The sequence below is a fragment of the Homo sapiens genome, chromosome 2, assembly GCF_000001405.40.
Source record: "Homo sapiens chromosome 2, GRCh38.p14 Primary Assembly".
NCBI classification, from domain to species: Eukaryota; Metazoa; Chordata; class Mammalia; order Primates; family Hominidae; genus Homo; species Homo sapiens.
This window is the reverse complement of record NC_000002.12, coordinates 106102934-106119671: the sequence shown is the minus strand read 5'-3', so window position 1 is coordinate 106119671 and position 16738 is coordinate 106102934. Positions and strand designations below refer to the sequence as shown.

General features: G+C 48.7%; 1 protein-coding gene across 15 annotated transcripts in view; it reads left to right on the top strand.

Moving 5' to 3' along the window:
• UXS1 (UDP-glucuronate decarboxylase 1) overlaps positions 1–16738 on the top strand; it is a 100991-nt gene that overhangs the window by 74630 nt on the left and 9623 nt on the right. For all 15 annotated transcript variants that reach the window (NR_045607.2, NR_165308.1, NM_001377505.1 and 12 more), the window contains 2 exons: positions 6907–7026; positions 14835–14878. Coding sequence is in view for 13 of the 15 variants with exons in the window: in NM_001377505.1 (NP_001364434.1) it covers positions 6907–7026; positions 14835–14878 (164 nt within the window). In the remaining 2 variants the exon portion in view is untranslated. The remainder of the gene's footprint in view (positions 1–6906; positions 7027–14834; positions 14879–16738) is intronic.

Sequence of the window (16738 nt, the reverse complement as noted above, 5' to 3'; positions counted from 1 at the left end):
AAGTGATTGTTATTTTCTGGGACTATGACTGTGTTCTGAGCACAGCGGCCTGCAGGATGTTGTGCCTTTCTGGATGTGTCACTGTCTGGAGGTGACATTGTTTGAGGATGCTCTGCGTGCCTGCTGTGGGTGTTGCGAGAGAGCAGGAACTGGGGGCTGGAATGCCTGCTGCGTGCTCAGCCTCTGTTAGGGCTCAGTCCGTTTAATCTCAGTTAATTCCCCGCAGCCCCCTCAGGTGGGAGTGGTCAGCCCATCTCACAGATGGGAGGATGGGCTCCAAAACTGGTTTCCAGGTCCCTAGCCCATAAGTGGGGTTGGAACCTTCAGCTGGCTACCTGTGGGGCCTGCTCCTCCCCACACTCCCTGGCTGTCCCTGCAGGCTGAAGCAGGTAAAGAAGCGTGAGTGAGCAAGAGGAGACCATGCAGCTCCAAGTCCAAAGGCGCCAAGGCTCCTTTGCAGCTCGCACAGTTGTGGGACAGTGCCCAGAATGAGTGGTTCATGCGCCTGCAGTAGCATCACCCCTGCACCTCTCAGCTGGGAGATTCAGCAACAGGAGCTGCACTGTGACCTTGTCAGTTTATAGTTCTAAATGTGTGATCTTTTGAGATAGTTTGGGGAGAAAATTTAAAACTTTGTGTGTTAGGATTTATGCTATCTGGAGACAAATAAAATCAAGGAGGATGAACCAGGTGGAATAGTACGTCTGGCATATTTTTAATTCATTATTTTAACAACTTTAATTAATTCCTTATACATAATAACATATCCCCCTTAAGTATAAATTGTGATTTTATTGTCAAGATCCTATATAGTATGTGGATATGTCTTACTCTGAATAATATGTAAAGATTGAAAATATAAACAAGATAGATGTAGGAATAATTTTTTTATAGAAAAATTTCTCTTTTCCTAAGGATTCTCTTCTGAGTTTCTTTAATGAATGAAATGTCCTAATGTAGTCAAAATAGAATTTTACTTTCCAGAAAAATCTACCACACACCCCTTAGAAAAAGAGAAGCTCCCTGGAATTTTTTTTCGTGGGATGGAGTGAGATGGAGGTTGAGATCAAAGGGCAGAGCCTTTCCCGAATAGTTAGAACTTGCCAGGGAGGAATTAAATTGCCGCCTCTGTGTGCATTTGGACTCAGTGGCTTGATAAATGTGGGGGCCTCTCCCGTAGGCTGCGGTCAGTGCTTAGTGTGCATTTGAGTTCGCCCCCTCATGAGTCTGACTCTGAGGTCTGTGGCCCACCCACTGGGCTGGATCTGCAAAACAAGCCTCCATTCATAAAACCAGCAAATGGCAGAGTGGAAAGAAAGCAAACTCAGAAATCACCTAGTCTAATGGCCCTGAAGGTATGGTTTTGTTTTAGTTCCTGGCATCAAAGTACTTTTGAAAAAGTCGGAGTTGGTATATATATTCTACCTGAGTTGGAAAAAAAAAAAAAAAGTAAGCAGCCAAACCAGGTGCAGTGTTCCATGGCTAGGACTCACACCCCAGGAGGCCCGTCCTGTCCTCTGGACCTGCCCAGTAGCAGCTTGGCTTCCTGGCCCTGTGACTCACTGGGTGCCTGCTGGCCACATCCCAGGTGTCCCACCTAGACACTGGCAGAGTGATATCCACCCCTCCTGGCCTGCTGCAGAGCAAACCTCAGGAAGGTCAGCTGATTGTTGATGCTGAAGCAGGAGTGCTGAGGAAGATGGCCAAACAGATGCAGACACACCCCTCCTGGACCCCCTTCCTCAGCCAACCCCTCGAGTCAACTTGAACCTTTTAGCACCTTTGAGAATCGTGCTTCAGCACAGTGAGCTGTGCATTCTGCAGTCGCCTTAGTTTTATCCACAGGTAGGGAGCAGAACCCATCGAGATGTATGCATGACAGGCCCTAGGGGAGTTAGGGGGTTCAGCCCTCACAGCCTGACTCCGTTGCTTTAGGGATGTGCATATACTTCTCTGAGAGAAGCGTCAGAGAGAGCCTGGGCTGCTGTACCTTGGTGCACTTCCTGGCATTTCTCCATTCCATTCCCTACAGGTGAATATGCCCAGGCACCTCCTTCAGGACCTGCTCCCACTATGCAGGGCTCTGTTCCACCTTCTATCAATAGAACCTTCCGTCAGCGAATATAGTGATCACGTTACAGTGTTCGGTGGCTTGATATAGCACAGTAAGTCATCACTTAACACCATCAGCAGGTTCTTGGAAACTGCTACTTTAAGCAGAAGGACATAGAACAAAATCAGCAGTACCACAGGCTAATTGCTATAACAAGAGTTAAGTTCCCAGGCATATTTCTGGTCACAAAAACATCACCAAAATTCTAAATAAAGACTAAAACACTTCTAATATTAAGGATTTGAAATAAATGTGAGCTATCCACCTAAGGAAGATTAATAAAAGCAAGATAATTATTGACAGGCTCTCAGGTGGCCAGAGCCTATCGCAGCAGCTCCAGGTTCCAGGCAGCAGCCTGCCCTGGACAGTATGCCAACCTCTCACAGGGCGTACTCACTCACACTGGGACCACTGGAACAGCCCACTTGTCTGACATGCACAGCTTTGGGATGTGAGAGGAGACCAGAATACCTGGAGAAAACCCACACAGACGTGGGGAGAGGAGAACATGCCAGCTGCGTGCAGACAGTAGCCCCAGCCAGGAGGTGATTTTTTTTCTCATCAGTATTATCATGAAATGATATTATTTGGGGACCTGTTGTACTCTCCACTGAATGGTTGCATTTTAAAAGAAATTTTGAGGGAGAACCCATGTGTCGTGAGCAGGGCAAGGTCAGACATAACCAGGTCCATGAACGTTTGTGTCTTTCCACAAGGTCAGGCTTTTATTGATACTATTTCCATCATAAAATCCATGTGCTCCATGCAGTTTCCCAGAAGGAACTTCTTAGTGTTTTCCATTCACTCGGTAATCAGAGCTGTGGTCACACAGGCTCAAGCCACTCCACAGCTCAGTCAGTACTGCAAACCATACCTAGTAGTGTACTTAATATATAAATGTTTAGATTAAGCAGTCCACATCAAACAGAGTAACATTTAACATCAAGAGACACGGGGAGAGGAAAAGGGGTTAATGAACTAGTCCAAGGACAGTGACATGGACAAAGAGAGGGTCCTGGGCTTATCTGGACAGGCAGCATCATCTTGCATGGAAGAGCCCTTGATTTGGGCAGTCTTTGGCGGCAGATGCTGGGTGCTGATCATGAGTGACAGCAAGATGGAGTCTGTCAAGATGGCCATCTCGAGTTGTAGAAGTCCTGCTCATTACCGCCCTTGAGTCCTTTGGTGAGGACTGACAGTAAAGGGTTATGCCCTTAATCTGGTTGGGTGTTGTCTCTGTTGATTATGCAAATATCTGGACCGTGTTGGCTGGATGCCTTTTGAAATGTGAAATGGAGTCATTTTCTAAGATAAAATCACTTCTGTCAGAGGTGCTCTGTACACCGTGTAATCCCTGCTGGTAACATTTCTGTCCTTGGGAGATATCTGGGGAGGGAGGAATCCCTGTACCTTCATTACTCCTCTTGGGTCACCTCTTGCCTGTCAGGCCTGCTGTTAGTTGGCTCCACGTCTCAGGACCTGCATACCCAAGCCCTCACCCCTCTCTCAGCTGCTACGAATGAGGCAAGGAGGCGTTTGATGCCAGTTACACTGTTCCAGCCTAGTTCGTGTTTCCAAAGGGCCTTTGGGAGCCTCAGCCTGTTCCTTGCAATCCTAGTGTCCTTGTGGCAATGTTTGTGAGCTATTCCACACGTGGTCACTGTCACTTCAAAGTAAATTAGTGTCATCAGAAAACTGGGGACAGAGGTCAAGGGCAATTACTGGGTTGAGAACCATCCCTTGGAGGTAGATAATAATGATGGCAGTTTTCAAAATAGTTTCAGTGTTTTAACCCCTGTGTTGTAGGTGGAATGGATATTATTGTCCTCATCTCAAAGATTAGGATCTTAAGTCTTAGAAACTGAAGTGACTTCCTTGGGATAATGAATCCCAGGATGAGACGAGGCCATCCAGGCATTCCAGCCTCCACCCTTTGCAGGTCCCTCAGCATCCATCCTAAGTTTCCATTGGTTCTATGTTGGTGCAGCTCAGGCTTGTAGGAGTTGTCTTGACCTTCCTGATGCTTGGAGCTGTCCATGACTCATGGGCCACCATAGGGGACAAAACCACAGAGCATAAAGTGAAATCCAGCCATGCCTAGGATGAATCAGCAGTTAGCTTTCTGACTGACAGCTTTGTCTATGCTCAAAGGCACCAGCTCAGTGTCAGCAGGGCCTGACCACTCGCAGGCAGAACATTGTGTGGGAGTCAGGGGTTCATGAATGTGTTTGCTTCTTGGTCCTTCAGAGGTGGGCTCTTCCTTAAATGAGACAGCGTTGCCTGGTGTGTACTTCCTGGGTTTTCAGCCTGGTTCTTCCCTTCTTAGGAAGGTGGCTTTGGGTCAGACCCTGGACCTTGCCTCAGATCTGAGATGAGGAATACCTTTCTCCAATCCATGCATGTGGGTGGCAACTGAACTGCCACCATCAACAGTGGTGTCAGCATCCATCGACTGTCCCCCTGCCTGCCCACATGGTCCCACCGTGAGGACCAGTGAGAATGAGGATTCAGCAGCAAGTGGACTATACATATTGACTGGGGGTCGCCTTTGTGTGAAGGCCAAGGGTTCCCTGATGCTACCTAGAAAGGGATAGATGGGCATACAAACTCCAGAAGACACCATCATCCCAGAGGAGAGCAGGGCTTAACTGGAGTGAGCCTCGGGTTCCTGTCTATTTCATGTAAGGAGTTTAGGCTTCATGAGTAGCTTGTCTTATTGGTGTAGACCAGCCTTGAGAGCTCGTGTTCTTGGAAGTGTTGTTGCACTCAACGGCTGTTGCACCTGTATAGAAGGGCTGCCCTCTGTTGCTGAACCATTACAGGCCCAAATAGAAAAGCCACAGCAAGCAAGCCTGTTTATGGGTTGGACACTTAATGTCTGCTGATCCTAATGAGGCCATGTTCCGGAATATTGTTTTGTGGAAAGGGAACGTCAAGAAGATAAAAGCATTTGATTTGCTGCAAATTTTGCCTAACCCATTGAGCTTTTCCCCTGCCAGGCACATTGCGTTGATTATTGTAAATTTGCTGAGGTTTTTCCAGTCTTTTCCTAGAATAAAGCCACATCCATTCACTTTCTTTCCTCATCTTATCAATTAAATGCAAGTGGGTACTTCTGAGTCATTTTCTGTTGAGAGCAGCATCTCTGCTCCCCACCCTTTTTAATACACTCATTAGTTCGGTGGAGAAAAGGGTTGATTTATTCTTGGACTTAGCTCATATCTTTGTCCTGAGTATCTGAGTGGCTCACGTGAAGTATTACAGTGTATTACTAGGAAGAATTAGCACAAATAAAGCACTCTGGCTTCTAAAAGTTAACTGTGTGCTTCCATGCCTCTCACCCTTTTTCATATCACAGCACACTTAAAAACCCGCCTGGGTTTGTGGAACACCCTAGGGAAATTGACAAGCCTGCTGTGGGCCGAGGTGGCGGCCGTGTCACTCCAGCCACTGAGAGGGCTGATGGGGCCTCTGGGGCTCGTGGTTCATGCCCTTTAACTCGCTATACTGGTGGAGAAATTCTGTGCTAAGTAAGCCTTGTTAGCTAAGGGTTCATTGGATTCCCATTCCCAACCCATGCCAGCCTAAGGTGTTGGCCGAAATTGAAAAAAGAACTGTTTCAGCTGGTAGTGATAACTGGCACCAAATACAGCCACTGGGCCTGTGCTTCAGTCTTAGAACACTGAGGCGGTCAGGTGAGTACTGCTTCTTTCCCAGTCTTGCTGCGACCGAGTCAGTGGCAGGCCTGGGCAGTGAGCGGTGGAGCGGGAACGGCGGACACATGGGCGCAGTGAGAAGCAGAGCCCAGGTCCTCACGCCCCAGGCTCCCTGCCCTCAGGTGCCCAGAAAGTGCACGTTTGTTCTGCAGTGGATCAAACATTAGATACGTATACACTGTAAAAGCCCACTAATTCAGAGTTTGTGATAAAAACATTTAATTTTTCCATCCATGGCAAAGCAGTCTGTGAAGTTAATAATTAACACGATCACTTAGAGCAGGCTTTTGTTATTCAAGTATGCACTTCCATGATTGCATATTTGAAAACAGGCTTTTCTGGATTACAAAAGTAATACATGTTCATTGTAGTAAAAATAGAAGCATTAAAAATACTTGAAAATGAACATAGAGGTGAAAATGAACAGGAGGGATGACTATTTAAACAGTGTCAGTATGTTTCTCTTTCCAGGCCATTAGCTAATAACCTATACTGGGCACTAAGTTGTATTTAGTTTCTCACTAAAACAGATGTTTTTTAGTAAAATAGATTGGGAGTGTAGATGCAAGCTCACTCAGTAAGAACGTTTCTGTGTCCCCTTTTCCTAAGATAGAGAGCTTTCTTGTATTTCTCCCTAGCTATTAAATATTCATTGACATCTAAATCTCTATTGAGTGATTAATTTGCACAATATATTATGTGAAAAAGATTAGAAAAGCATATTCATAACATGATCCCATTTTGGAAAATATATATTTAACTGGGAAAAAAAATTATATAAATACACGTTTTTCCTCCTTGTACTGTTTGGCTGGTTTTCTACCAAAATATTAATGCTGGTGGCCTTTCAGTGGCGAGATCTGGGACAGCTTTGACTCTCTTTGGTATAGCCCTGTGTAGTCTCCCGATTGGTCTATAATGAGCACATTATGGAATCAGAACAAAAAAGCCATTTCCATTTTGGAATGGAAAGCAGAACGTTTCCATTCTGCATTGCATGCAGGGCACTGGAAATGCAAAGTGGATGCGTGGACCACACAGGGGAGCACACCTGACCTCCTCTTCTCTCTGTTCCAGGAAGGCGTGGAAGTGCGAGTGGCCAGAATCTTCAACACCTTTGGGCCACGCATGCACATGAACGATGGGCGAGTAGTCAGCAACTTCATCCTGCAGGCGCTCCAGGGGGAGCCACTCACGGTAGGTGCTGGCCTCGGCTCAGGGAGCACCTTGCAACCCAAATCGAAGTCAGCTCACAAAGGATGAGGGATAAGTGCATCTTGGTTCAGGGAGTGACACTTCTGAAGCTGCCATGTATACCCGCTACCCTCCACTAAGGGGAAGGCAGGCACGGGGACATAACCCAGATGCATGGCTGCTCCACGAAACTAGAGTCACCTTGCCCTCCATGGCCACTGGGGTCCCTGCCCATGCCTCCAGGTCTGCCTGCCTGTACCAGCCGGCCTGTGAAGACCTTCTCCGACATACTTTTGGCCTGCTGGCTGTAGCCAGGGGTGTGCCTGTACTGGGTGTCCTCGGATGGCTGAGAAGCCTGGACAGGTAGGGTGGGGAGGTGAGCCACATCTGGTCAGGCTGGGCCGTCACCTTGACAATGCCGGCAGGCCCTCGGTACCATCCTCCACTGGCCACCCTCAACCCAGGGAGACTTCTGGAGCCAGCAGAGGTCCCAGTGATCTGTGGTCGGTGGTCCAAGTGTGTGGCAAAGATGTCTGTGCCGACACTGACTGCTTGGTACCCTCAGATACCATCTGGGGTCAGGGTGGGTTTGCTGATTCCACACCTGTTCCCACAGCCCTCTGGCCTCCCTTGGGAGGAGCACCCCAGGCCTGCCTGGTGAGAGGCTCTGCCGGCATCTTTGGTTTTGCTAATCCTCCCTCCCACCCCCAGCTCCCCGGTCACTCCTCTTCGTGGTTGTCTGCCCAGGCTGCTTTGCTCTTCTGATCTGTAGCCTCCTAGAGCACTTTCCAGCATGGCATTTTGTGGGACTCGAGTCGATTTGCATCCTGTTACTCTGAAAATCCTGTGGCATGGTTTGTTATCAATTGAGTGTATTCCAGGGGGAAGAATTATAGCTCTGTGTATTTCTGTGTAGTACATATGCATCTACCCATTGATTGGTTGATCACGTTAGCTCACTCTTCTGTCCTATGATCTGCAGGTGACATTATTCCCCTCCTTTTTCAGGCAAGGATGCTGGAGCGCAGAGGTTATATGAGTTGCCCAAGCTTAGGTGGCCACACAGTGGTAGCCTGGGTTTTGAAGCCAGAGCCCCCGCTCTTCATGAGCATTCTCCGTGGTGTGTGTCTCCTTGTCTGTGTTGGCTGCTCCGCTACCAACGTAGAACCAAAAGCCTAGCCTGTTACACAGTGGGATGACTCTCCAAGGGCAACTGCATTGTATAGCTGAGTTTCGCTGAGTGCATTCCTGGGGAGAGGTGAGTCCAAACTCAGCTTTAGGCTCCCAACAGCCCATGCCAGCTCTCCCACCTCCCCCTGTCACTAAGTGGTATCTTGGTGCCCCTAAATGGAGGCTCTGTGACTACACATGGCTCTTCTCCTTCCTTCACTGCACAGATCCACCAGCACATCCTAATGGCCGTGCCCTCCCTAGGTAGATCCAGACTCCAGTCCCTGGTCTACACTGCTGCCGCCCCACCCCTATTTATTGCCGTAGCCTTGGAGCCACTCTCATTCTCCCTGTCCTGTGTACTCTCAACCCCGCAGCTGGAGGGAGCCTTGTAAAGAGGGGTCGGAAGCTCAAGTGGCTCTGCAGCTCCAGCAGAGCACGGGACACAGCCCTGTTGCCTCCGCACCTTCCCTCAGGCCGGGCTTCCTTGCTCCCTTGCTCCTGCCTGTCCCAGCAGCGTCTTGCTTTTCTTCCAGGCATTCTTGTTCATTCATCCTCTCCTTAAGGGAACCTTCTTGATGCTTCTCTGCATTATGGCACCAGGCTAGTTACCATAACCATGTTAGTTGTCTTCAGTGCCCTTGTAACCAACTGAAATACGAATTTTTCAGCCCCAATCTCTGTTAGTACAGTGTATGCTCTTCAAAACCAGGGACTTTGTTTCATTCATGGTTGCGTCCCCAGCTTCCAGAAGACCACCAGGTACGTGGGCGCAGGAGAGAAATGTTGAGTGGACTAATTATTGGATTTGTAGTGGCCGCTTTCCTTTATGGTAAGTGAAAGTGGTGAAACTTACTATCATCTCATGTAACCCTCTTGCTGCTACTTGGGGTTCCTAGGAGCTCGTGCCGTGACCTGCGAACCCCTTAGTCCACCTGCTCAGTTGAGAATTCCACATCTCGAGGACAGCCTGGTGCCTTTTTAGCAACTGTGTTCAGAAACTCCTTCATGCTGTGAGATGAGAGCTGCTTTGTTTAGAGGAAACCATGAAAGCCTCCAAGAAGCAGCTTGATTTAGTGCCTCCTTGGCCACAGCCAGGGCTCCCAGTGTCCCCTAGCCTCCCCAAGAATGCATGCATTGTTGGCAGAGGTGATAACTCATGTGTTGTCTTCACACCGAGCAAGCTTTTGTGCCAGAGACAAAAGGGAGAAGATCTCTGGAGCCGTCCATGACTGCAGTTAATCGAGAACGTGGTGGGCTTCAGTCTCTGTAGGCAGCTTCTGGTGGCAGGAGGCAGAAGTCCCGAGGGAGGCCTTTCAGAATGTGTTTTGTTTCCTTTGTCACACAGAATTCTATTTCCCAGCAAGAATTTGATGAAGTCACTGACTTCATTCTTTTCTGTCCAATTGAGATATCATGCCTTGCTCTTGTCAGATGGCTCTGTGGAGCAGTCTAGGGAGAGACTCGCAGGCCTGCCTGAGCCAGCCTGTCTTTAGAAACACTCGGCTTACTGAGGAAGGGAAATAAGGAGGTGTGTCCACCTATTTCCTTTTCTGCTACATTTCCGACAAGTCACTTCTGAGGTGAAGACCTCTTTGAGGGTGGCCAGAAACAGCTCAGCGTCTCGTTCTCCCTTTCCAAGCTGGATGGGTATGATTGCTTACCTTGCAGCCGTGTTTTTGAGCAGATTCCTCATGCCTGTCTTAGCATCTCACTCGTTGCTGTACCAGATGCCTGTGATGAGGACTCAGGGAGTATGTCGCTGGGTTAAGTGCATCATACATCAAAGCTATATTTTAAGTGGAATCATGTTCAGCAAAGTTTGCATCTCAGATTAGAAAATAGATGAGTATGGTTCAGGTAGAGCTATTGTCCTAAGTTTATTTTCGAAGAGGCTTTGGTCCACAGTTCAGTTATGGCACTCACCTTCACAGGAGGGGTCATTCTGCTTTCCACCTTATGTGATTTATCCCAGGTTTGGATTTGCCCAGGACAGGTCAGATGTGGTAGAATTGGGGTTTGAATCCAGTGCTATATCATTTTAAAAGCCTTGCTATTCTTCCAAAGGGAAATTGTGGAAAAATCATACTTCTAAGACCAATTCAAAGCTGGTATGATGTTTAGCCTTTTTATTGATACTGTGGTATGTTAAGTGATTCTTACATTGGGCCTTCGTTTGTGGCGGAAAGCCATAGGATTTGTTAAACAGTTATTCAATGGTACTAAAGTATGGTGAGGAAGACTTTATTCAGGACCATCATGACAGGAATACGGATCACTGCAGTGGGATTTTTCGGGGGGGAAAGACTGGGATCAACTCCAAATACAGCACAGGCAAGCAGAATTTACAGCCAAGGAGCAGGGAGGAGGTGAGTGGATGGAAAATTATTAAGAGGAAGCATCAGAGGTAAGGCGGATTCTAGCTAAACCAACCTAACAGGATTCTTGCTGACAACAGGCCAGGGTGGTCGGACACACTCTAGGGGATATGGGGGGTGAGGAATGTCAGATGTCGAGGGTGATCAGATATCGAGGGTAAGGGTTTCTTGTGAAACTGACTTAGCAGGGTTCTTGTCAAAACTACATTTTACAAGGAAGTGCACAAATGGGCCTAGGAGAAGGTACTCGAGGCTGAACGAAGTTTGGCCAAGCAAAGAATCTTTGTTACATCTTAAACACATAAAGCACAGCGGCTGGGGACATTGCTAAGTGATCATGAGAGCTCCTCGCTGCCCCTCACCCCCGGCCGGTCCTCTCCCCTGTTGGTTACTCCTTGATCATCATGCTGCTTTGACCTGCACACAGCCCTTCGTTCCCCGGCCCCCAGTAGCAGCCTTGACTCTTGCACGAATCTCCTGGCATCTCTCCTGTTCTGTGAAATGAAGCCAGAGGGACCGAATCTCACACTGTCTTCTGTTAGAAGAACAATGAGAAGGCTGAGGGAGCTCTGCTGCCATCAGCTGTCCACACCAGATCCCTGTGATACTCATGCCCTGGATTTTGCTGCACACTCAATTTGTGCCAAGTCCCTGCAGGCCTTATCTTGAAGTGGGGGAGATGGAAGGCCTCAGACCATGCTGGGAGGGCTGTACACAGGGTCTGCAGTTGCATTCTAGAGCCCAGGGAAGACAGATATTTTGGATGGGGCATAATTGCATAGCATCTTCTCTCTTGCACACACACCCCTTTCTTTTACTTTACATTTTCACATTAGCGCACACAGTGAATATTTCACACATGAATTACAAATCCTCATGTTGCAAAGTACTGTGTTAGTGAAATAGGTAGGCTAATTTAAACCAAAGTACAGATGATGGATGTGATATGCTATAGAAACTGAAATCCAGCAGGACTCTTAAGGACATGAGGAAGGAAGTATTCCAGGCTGCCACTGACATTGCATCTTAGCCTAATGCACACACTGGAGCATACAAACTTTCAGGACTGTGTCAGCAAGGTCTGTGGGGGTATGCAGTGGGCGTCCCACGGGATCCACGCCTTTCCACTGCAGCCCAGGCAGAACAGCCTCCTCTTGTACTAGGGACTATTTCCTTGAGGCCCAGTTGGGCCTCAGGTGGGACCTCAGAGGGAGTGCTGCTGAGCACCTTTTGTCACCGTACCTGAAGGCAGCATAGCTTACCCGGTGACCGTGGTGCCTGCAGATGAACCTTGTGTCGGTGCTGGCTGGGTGGGGAGCTGCCCCTGGCGAGTCACGCAGGGAAATGCACCCACAGTCGTAACTCTCCTTCCAGTGCACTTATGAATGAGTCAACGGTGGGAAATACCCAGCAGACTGCAGGTTATTTTGGGAGCCTTTTGGACTTCCCAGGCTGCAGCCCTTTGGGATTAAGTGATATTCAAGCTGCTGAATGTCTCCACCACAAGTCCCTTGTTTGGTTGAGCAGGTACCTGGCGTGGTTCTTCACATCCTGACCCTGGCAGCCTAGTTAACCCATCCCGGTCGGGGGGCTTACCCAGCATGTATTGCCCTGGATTGTGTTCCTCCAGGGCTTGGGGTCAGCATGTTTCGGTGGAATGGAAAGCTGCCACTGTGCTCTTCCATGGCTCCTCTCTGAGAGACGGTGTGTGAGTGGACACCGCTGCTCTGATGAGTGAGCCTGGGCTTTAGATCAGACTGAAGACTGGCCTCGGCTGGCTTGTTGAAGGCCACTGCCGCTCTGGACAAAGGTGGGCTTTCTGTGAATGTGGCTGGAATGCACTAGCAGACTGGTGAGCCCACCATCACAGTGGCCCTGACTGAGTGTGGTGGGAAGGTGCAAAACAAGCAGCAGAGGTGCATCTGTGCGCTCAGCTTTGAGAGCAGAGCCCCGGATGCAGACAGAGGCAATGGGCAGGACAGCAGCACAGCCCCAAACCCACCTGTGGAGGAGCCTGTGACGCGGGAGTTGCCTAAATCCGATACTCACTACAGTGAGGTTGGAGAATGGCCTGGTGCCAGCCTGAGAGCCACAGTTTGAAAAAAGAAAAAAAAATCTACAGGTAGTTCTGAAATTATGAACACAATAGGGCAGGAAAAAGAATTCTGAACTTGGAGTCAAGATAAATTTCACTCTGCTGAATGCAGGTCACTCCAGCGCTTTGACCTTCCATTACCTCATCTCCAAAATAAGGTTGTAAAAAACAAAAAGAGTTACACCTACGGCACTGGTGTAGAGGGGAGTTTCCAGGCTGAGGGAGCTGGCAGTGGGTGGACCTCCTGTCCTACCAACTCAGGCCCACTGCTTCCTACCTTCCTCACATGTATCAGAAGTATCAGCCAGGCCAGAGAATCAGGTTCAGGCAGAACTGTCAAGGAATTCCCCTCTGCTTCCAAGAGGCCCATGCCCATCCTTCCTCAATGTTCCTTTACTGAGATTTGTTGCAGCTGTAGTTTCTGTGTTGACAGGAATCCCCATTCCTCAGTATCCCCAGCCTTTTCTCAGTGTAAGGCCTTCCCCCCAAGAACAGAACCTACATAGATAGAACTGATACACCTGTGGAATTGGCATATAAATGTTTATTAAGAAAACAGAGATAGCCTTTGAACCTGCTTTTTAAATAAATAAATAAGGCTTTCAGGGGGTTTGATGCATGTGCTTTTTTTTTTTTTTTTTGAGACGGAGTTTCACTCTTGTTGCCCAGGCTGGAGTGCAATGGCACGATCTCGGCTCACTGCAACCTCCGCCTCCCAGGTTCAAGCAATTCTCCTGCCTCAGCCTCCCTAGTAGCTGGGATTACAGGCGCCCACCACCACACCCAGCTAATTTTGTAATTTTAGCAGAGACAGGGTTTCTCCATGTTGGTCAGGCTGGTGTCGAACTCCCGACCTCCGGTGATCTGCCCATCTCGGCCTCCCAAGGTGCTGGGATTACAGGCTTGAGCCACCGCGCCAGGCCATGCGTGTGCTTTTCTTCTCCACCTGATCCTTCCCCTTTTCCTTCTCAGAGCTGGAGCGGGGAGCTCTGGGAAAGCCAGGCTGAGTGTCTGGTGCTGAGGGGGCTGGTGCTGTTCACAGAGCTGCTGGCAGGGGCTCTTTTTTGCTGTCAGGCGGGAAGAGACCCCAGGGTTGTTATAATCAAGCTTGTTCCCAAAGGCAGTCCCTTCTTCCCAGCTGCCTGCTTTCCACCACAGGGAGGTACACAAGCAAACAAAACCCCCGAGGGCACTCTTGTTCCTGTGATGCCGCGCTTAGGAGATCTCCCCAAGCACCTCTGTTGCCGTCTCCGCCTCAGTGAGTGGCGTGATCCGTGGCGCTCCGCAGGTCATTCAGCAGATGCTCATCCCATGCTGGTATCGCACCTCACATCGTGCTGGGCTCCAGCAGGGCAAAGGGGGTTCGGACACCAGTCCTTCTGGGGAGTTCACAGTTGGGGGCAGTTGGCAAAGGGCTTTCCCTGGGCAATGAGCCAGAGAAGCTTCTCCAGGAGGTGGCATCAGAGCTTGTCCCTAAAGGATGAGTAGCACTCTGCCAGGTGGAAAGTAGACAAGACGGTCTCAGCTGGCAGAGCAAAGAACACAAGCCAAGCTATGGAAGTGTGGAGCAAATGTGCAGTGGAAACAAAGGGGAATGTGACCCTCCTCCTGCCACCTCCGCATCACTTTCAGAGTCTCCTGCATGCCTCTCCACCTTGGCCTTATATTAGAATCTCCTGGGGAGCTAGCTGTAACAATACCAGGAGATGCCGGCCTCATCCCAAACAGTCTGTGAACCAGCCTGGGCGGCATCCCCAGCTCTGCTGTTGGGCAGTCAGTGTGAGGAACCCCAGTTAAATGCATGTATTAATGTTTGTGTGTAGATCTGTCACCTAGCTGGACTCTGAGGTCACAGCCCCCCAGAGCCTCACATGATGCCTGACACATCGTAAGACTCCAGCAGAAGCGAATTCCTTCAGGCACTGTCTTTTGAGGGAAAACTTTACACAGCTATACCAGGTGCACACTTTAGGTATTGCTGCCACCATCTCACTGTCAAGGCATGGTCTCGAAGTAGAGTGCGGGATGTGGTGCTAGATGCTTTGAGTCAGCATCACTGCCCCCTGGGATCAGTTTCAAGGTCGGACTGTGTCCCCTGGAGTTTCAAGGACACCTACGCAGGACGGGTGTGGTTTTATCAGGAGGCCTAACTGTTGGTTTCCTTCCAGGTATACGGATCCGGGTCTCAGACAAGGGCGTTCCAGTACGTCAGGTAAGACTGTCCTGCCCTGCCCCAGCCTTAGCAGTGCTTTGGAGCAGGGGTCATGCCAACTTGACAGACAGTTCAGTGTCTTGTATATGTTAACCATTTCCACAACGCTAACACTATATATTGATTAAAAATTTTTAATTTTATGATGGGAAAACTTGCTGTTCTCTGTTTAAAAGTTAAAATTTGCATTCATCTCCATGACTATCGTGACTCATGTGCTAATCTTTTACTGCCACCTAGCGGTGTGTGGGTGAAGTTGCCCAGCTCTGAGGGTGACTTGGGTGATTTCAGCGCAGGTGGAGTTAAGAGATGGCCTTTTGCATCCAGCAGACCTGTGAATGCCAGAATCTGACCCATTGCAAACATGGCTCGCGGGGTGGAGGAGATAGTCCTTGTGGAGGGCACAAGGTAGATAGTGTTCTTATGTTGAATTTCACGCTGAAACTAAATGCAGATAAAAATATATTTTTTGAATAGATTCACGTGGTGATTTTTATTGCTTTCTTGGCAGCCCTTATAAACCCACTGTTCTGTTGTTCCATTCCGTTGGTGATTAATTTTAGAAGGCAGTGTGGATTCTCAGAGTAGTTAGGATAGAAGCAGTTGTGTATGCCAAAGTGCATCCACCAGTATGTGGCTATTGTAAATTCTGTGAAAGTTTCTGGTATCCTGAATTGTTGTAAAACCCAGTTCTATATTTTGAACCCACATATTTTCACTCTTCATTGCAAATACCCCAGTATGCCTGTCAATCAGGAAGTGTTATTCCTGCTGTCTTAGGGCCATCCCAGGGGCACTAGGGTGAGATGGTGGCTGTTGTGCAGGTCGGGGCAGCCCCCAAGTCCCACCTCAGCCAAAGCAACCACATAAAATTGTACCTACCCAGGACCCTTAGGTAGGGGTCCTGGGTAGGAGTCCCGTGGAGAAATGGAACTGGTAGTAAAATAAAATTTTAAAAAGAAATCAAAATAACCACTGTAGATTTTTGCTGAAAGTATTTGTGAATTTCCATTTACTCCAAAAGAAAGCTGTGAGTAAACATTTACACAGCCAGTAGTTTTTTCCTCCCCACCCATTAATATCTTGCCTCAAGGGGCAAAAGCCCAGAAGTGTACTATAACCAACTTTGTGGCCCAAATAGGCATGCATATTCTAAAAAGCGATTTAACAGGGAAATGGCAGCTGCCCCCGCTTTGGGACTGTGTTCATTTCAAAGCACTTAACGTAGGCACTATGTCCCTGGAGGAAACTATCATGGCACACTTCTGTATGGGGACCAAATTGTGGGCCTCCCTTGGATTGAGTACCGTCTTTCCATAGTGACGCGTTCTTATCCCATCCTCCTCCACTCACCCAGCTGTGCCCTTTTCTGAGGGAGTCTTGCTGTCCTCGGTTATGTGTGCCTGCCTCGGGCTGCCTCACCAGTGGCGCCCAGGCTTCTCCAGCCCCCACACCACATGGAATATCAATGAGATGTTGTGCGGTAAAAGGAAACCAGTCAGGACCCATTCTTCTTTCTGCTCTCATTATCTCAAGGGCATTGTGTGCAAAATTCATTTAAAATAGCCTCAGAGACTTTTCTTTTTGCTAGGACTAAAATATTTTGAGCATTCAGTGATGCCTGTGCTATGTGCTGTCCCAGCTCAGGACAAAATGCACCCTGGCCCGCTCTGATGGCCTGGTCACTGTCCTGTGCCTGCTTTGATGGTCGTGGCTCATGCTCCTAGCTGCCATCACATGCATCGTCCTCTCCCACACCACTTGACTACTTGAAAAGAGGGCATGAGCAGTTTCCCTAGACACATGGTTGTTAACCCTTTTAGAAAACCCATTTCATAACACTTCAGTAGTATTTATTTA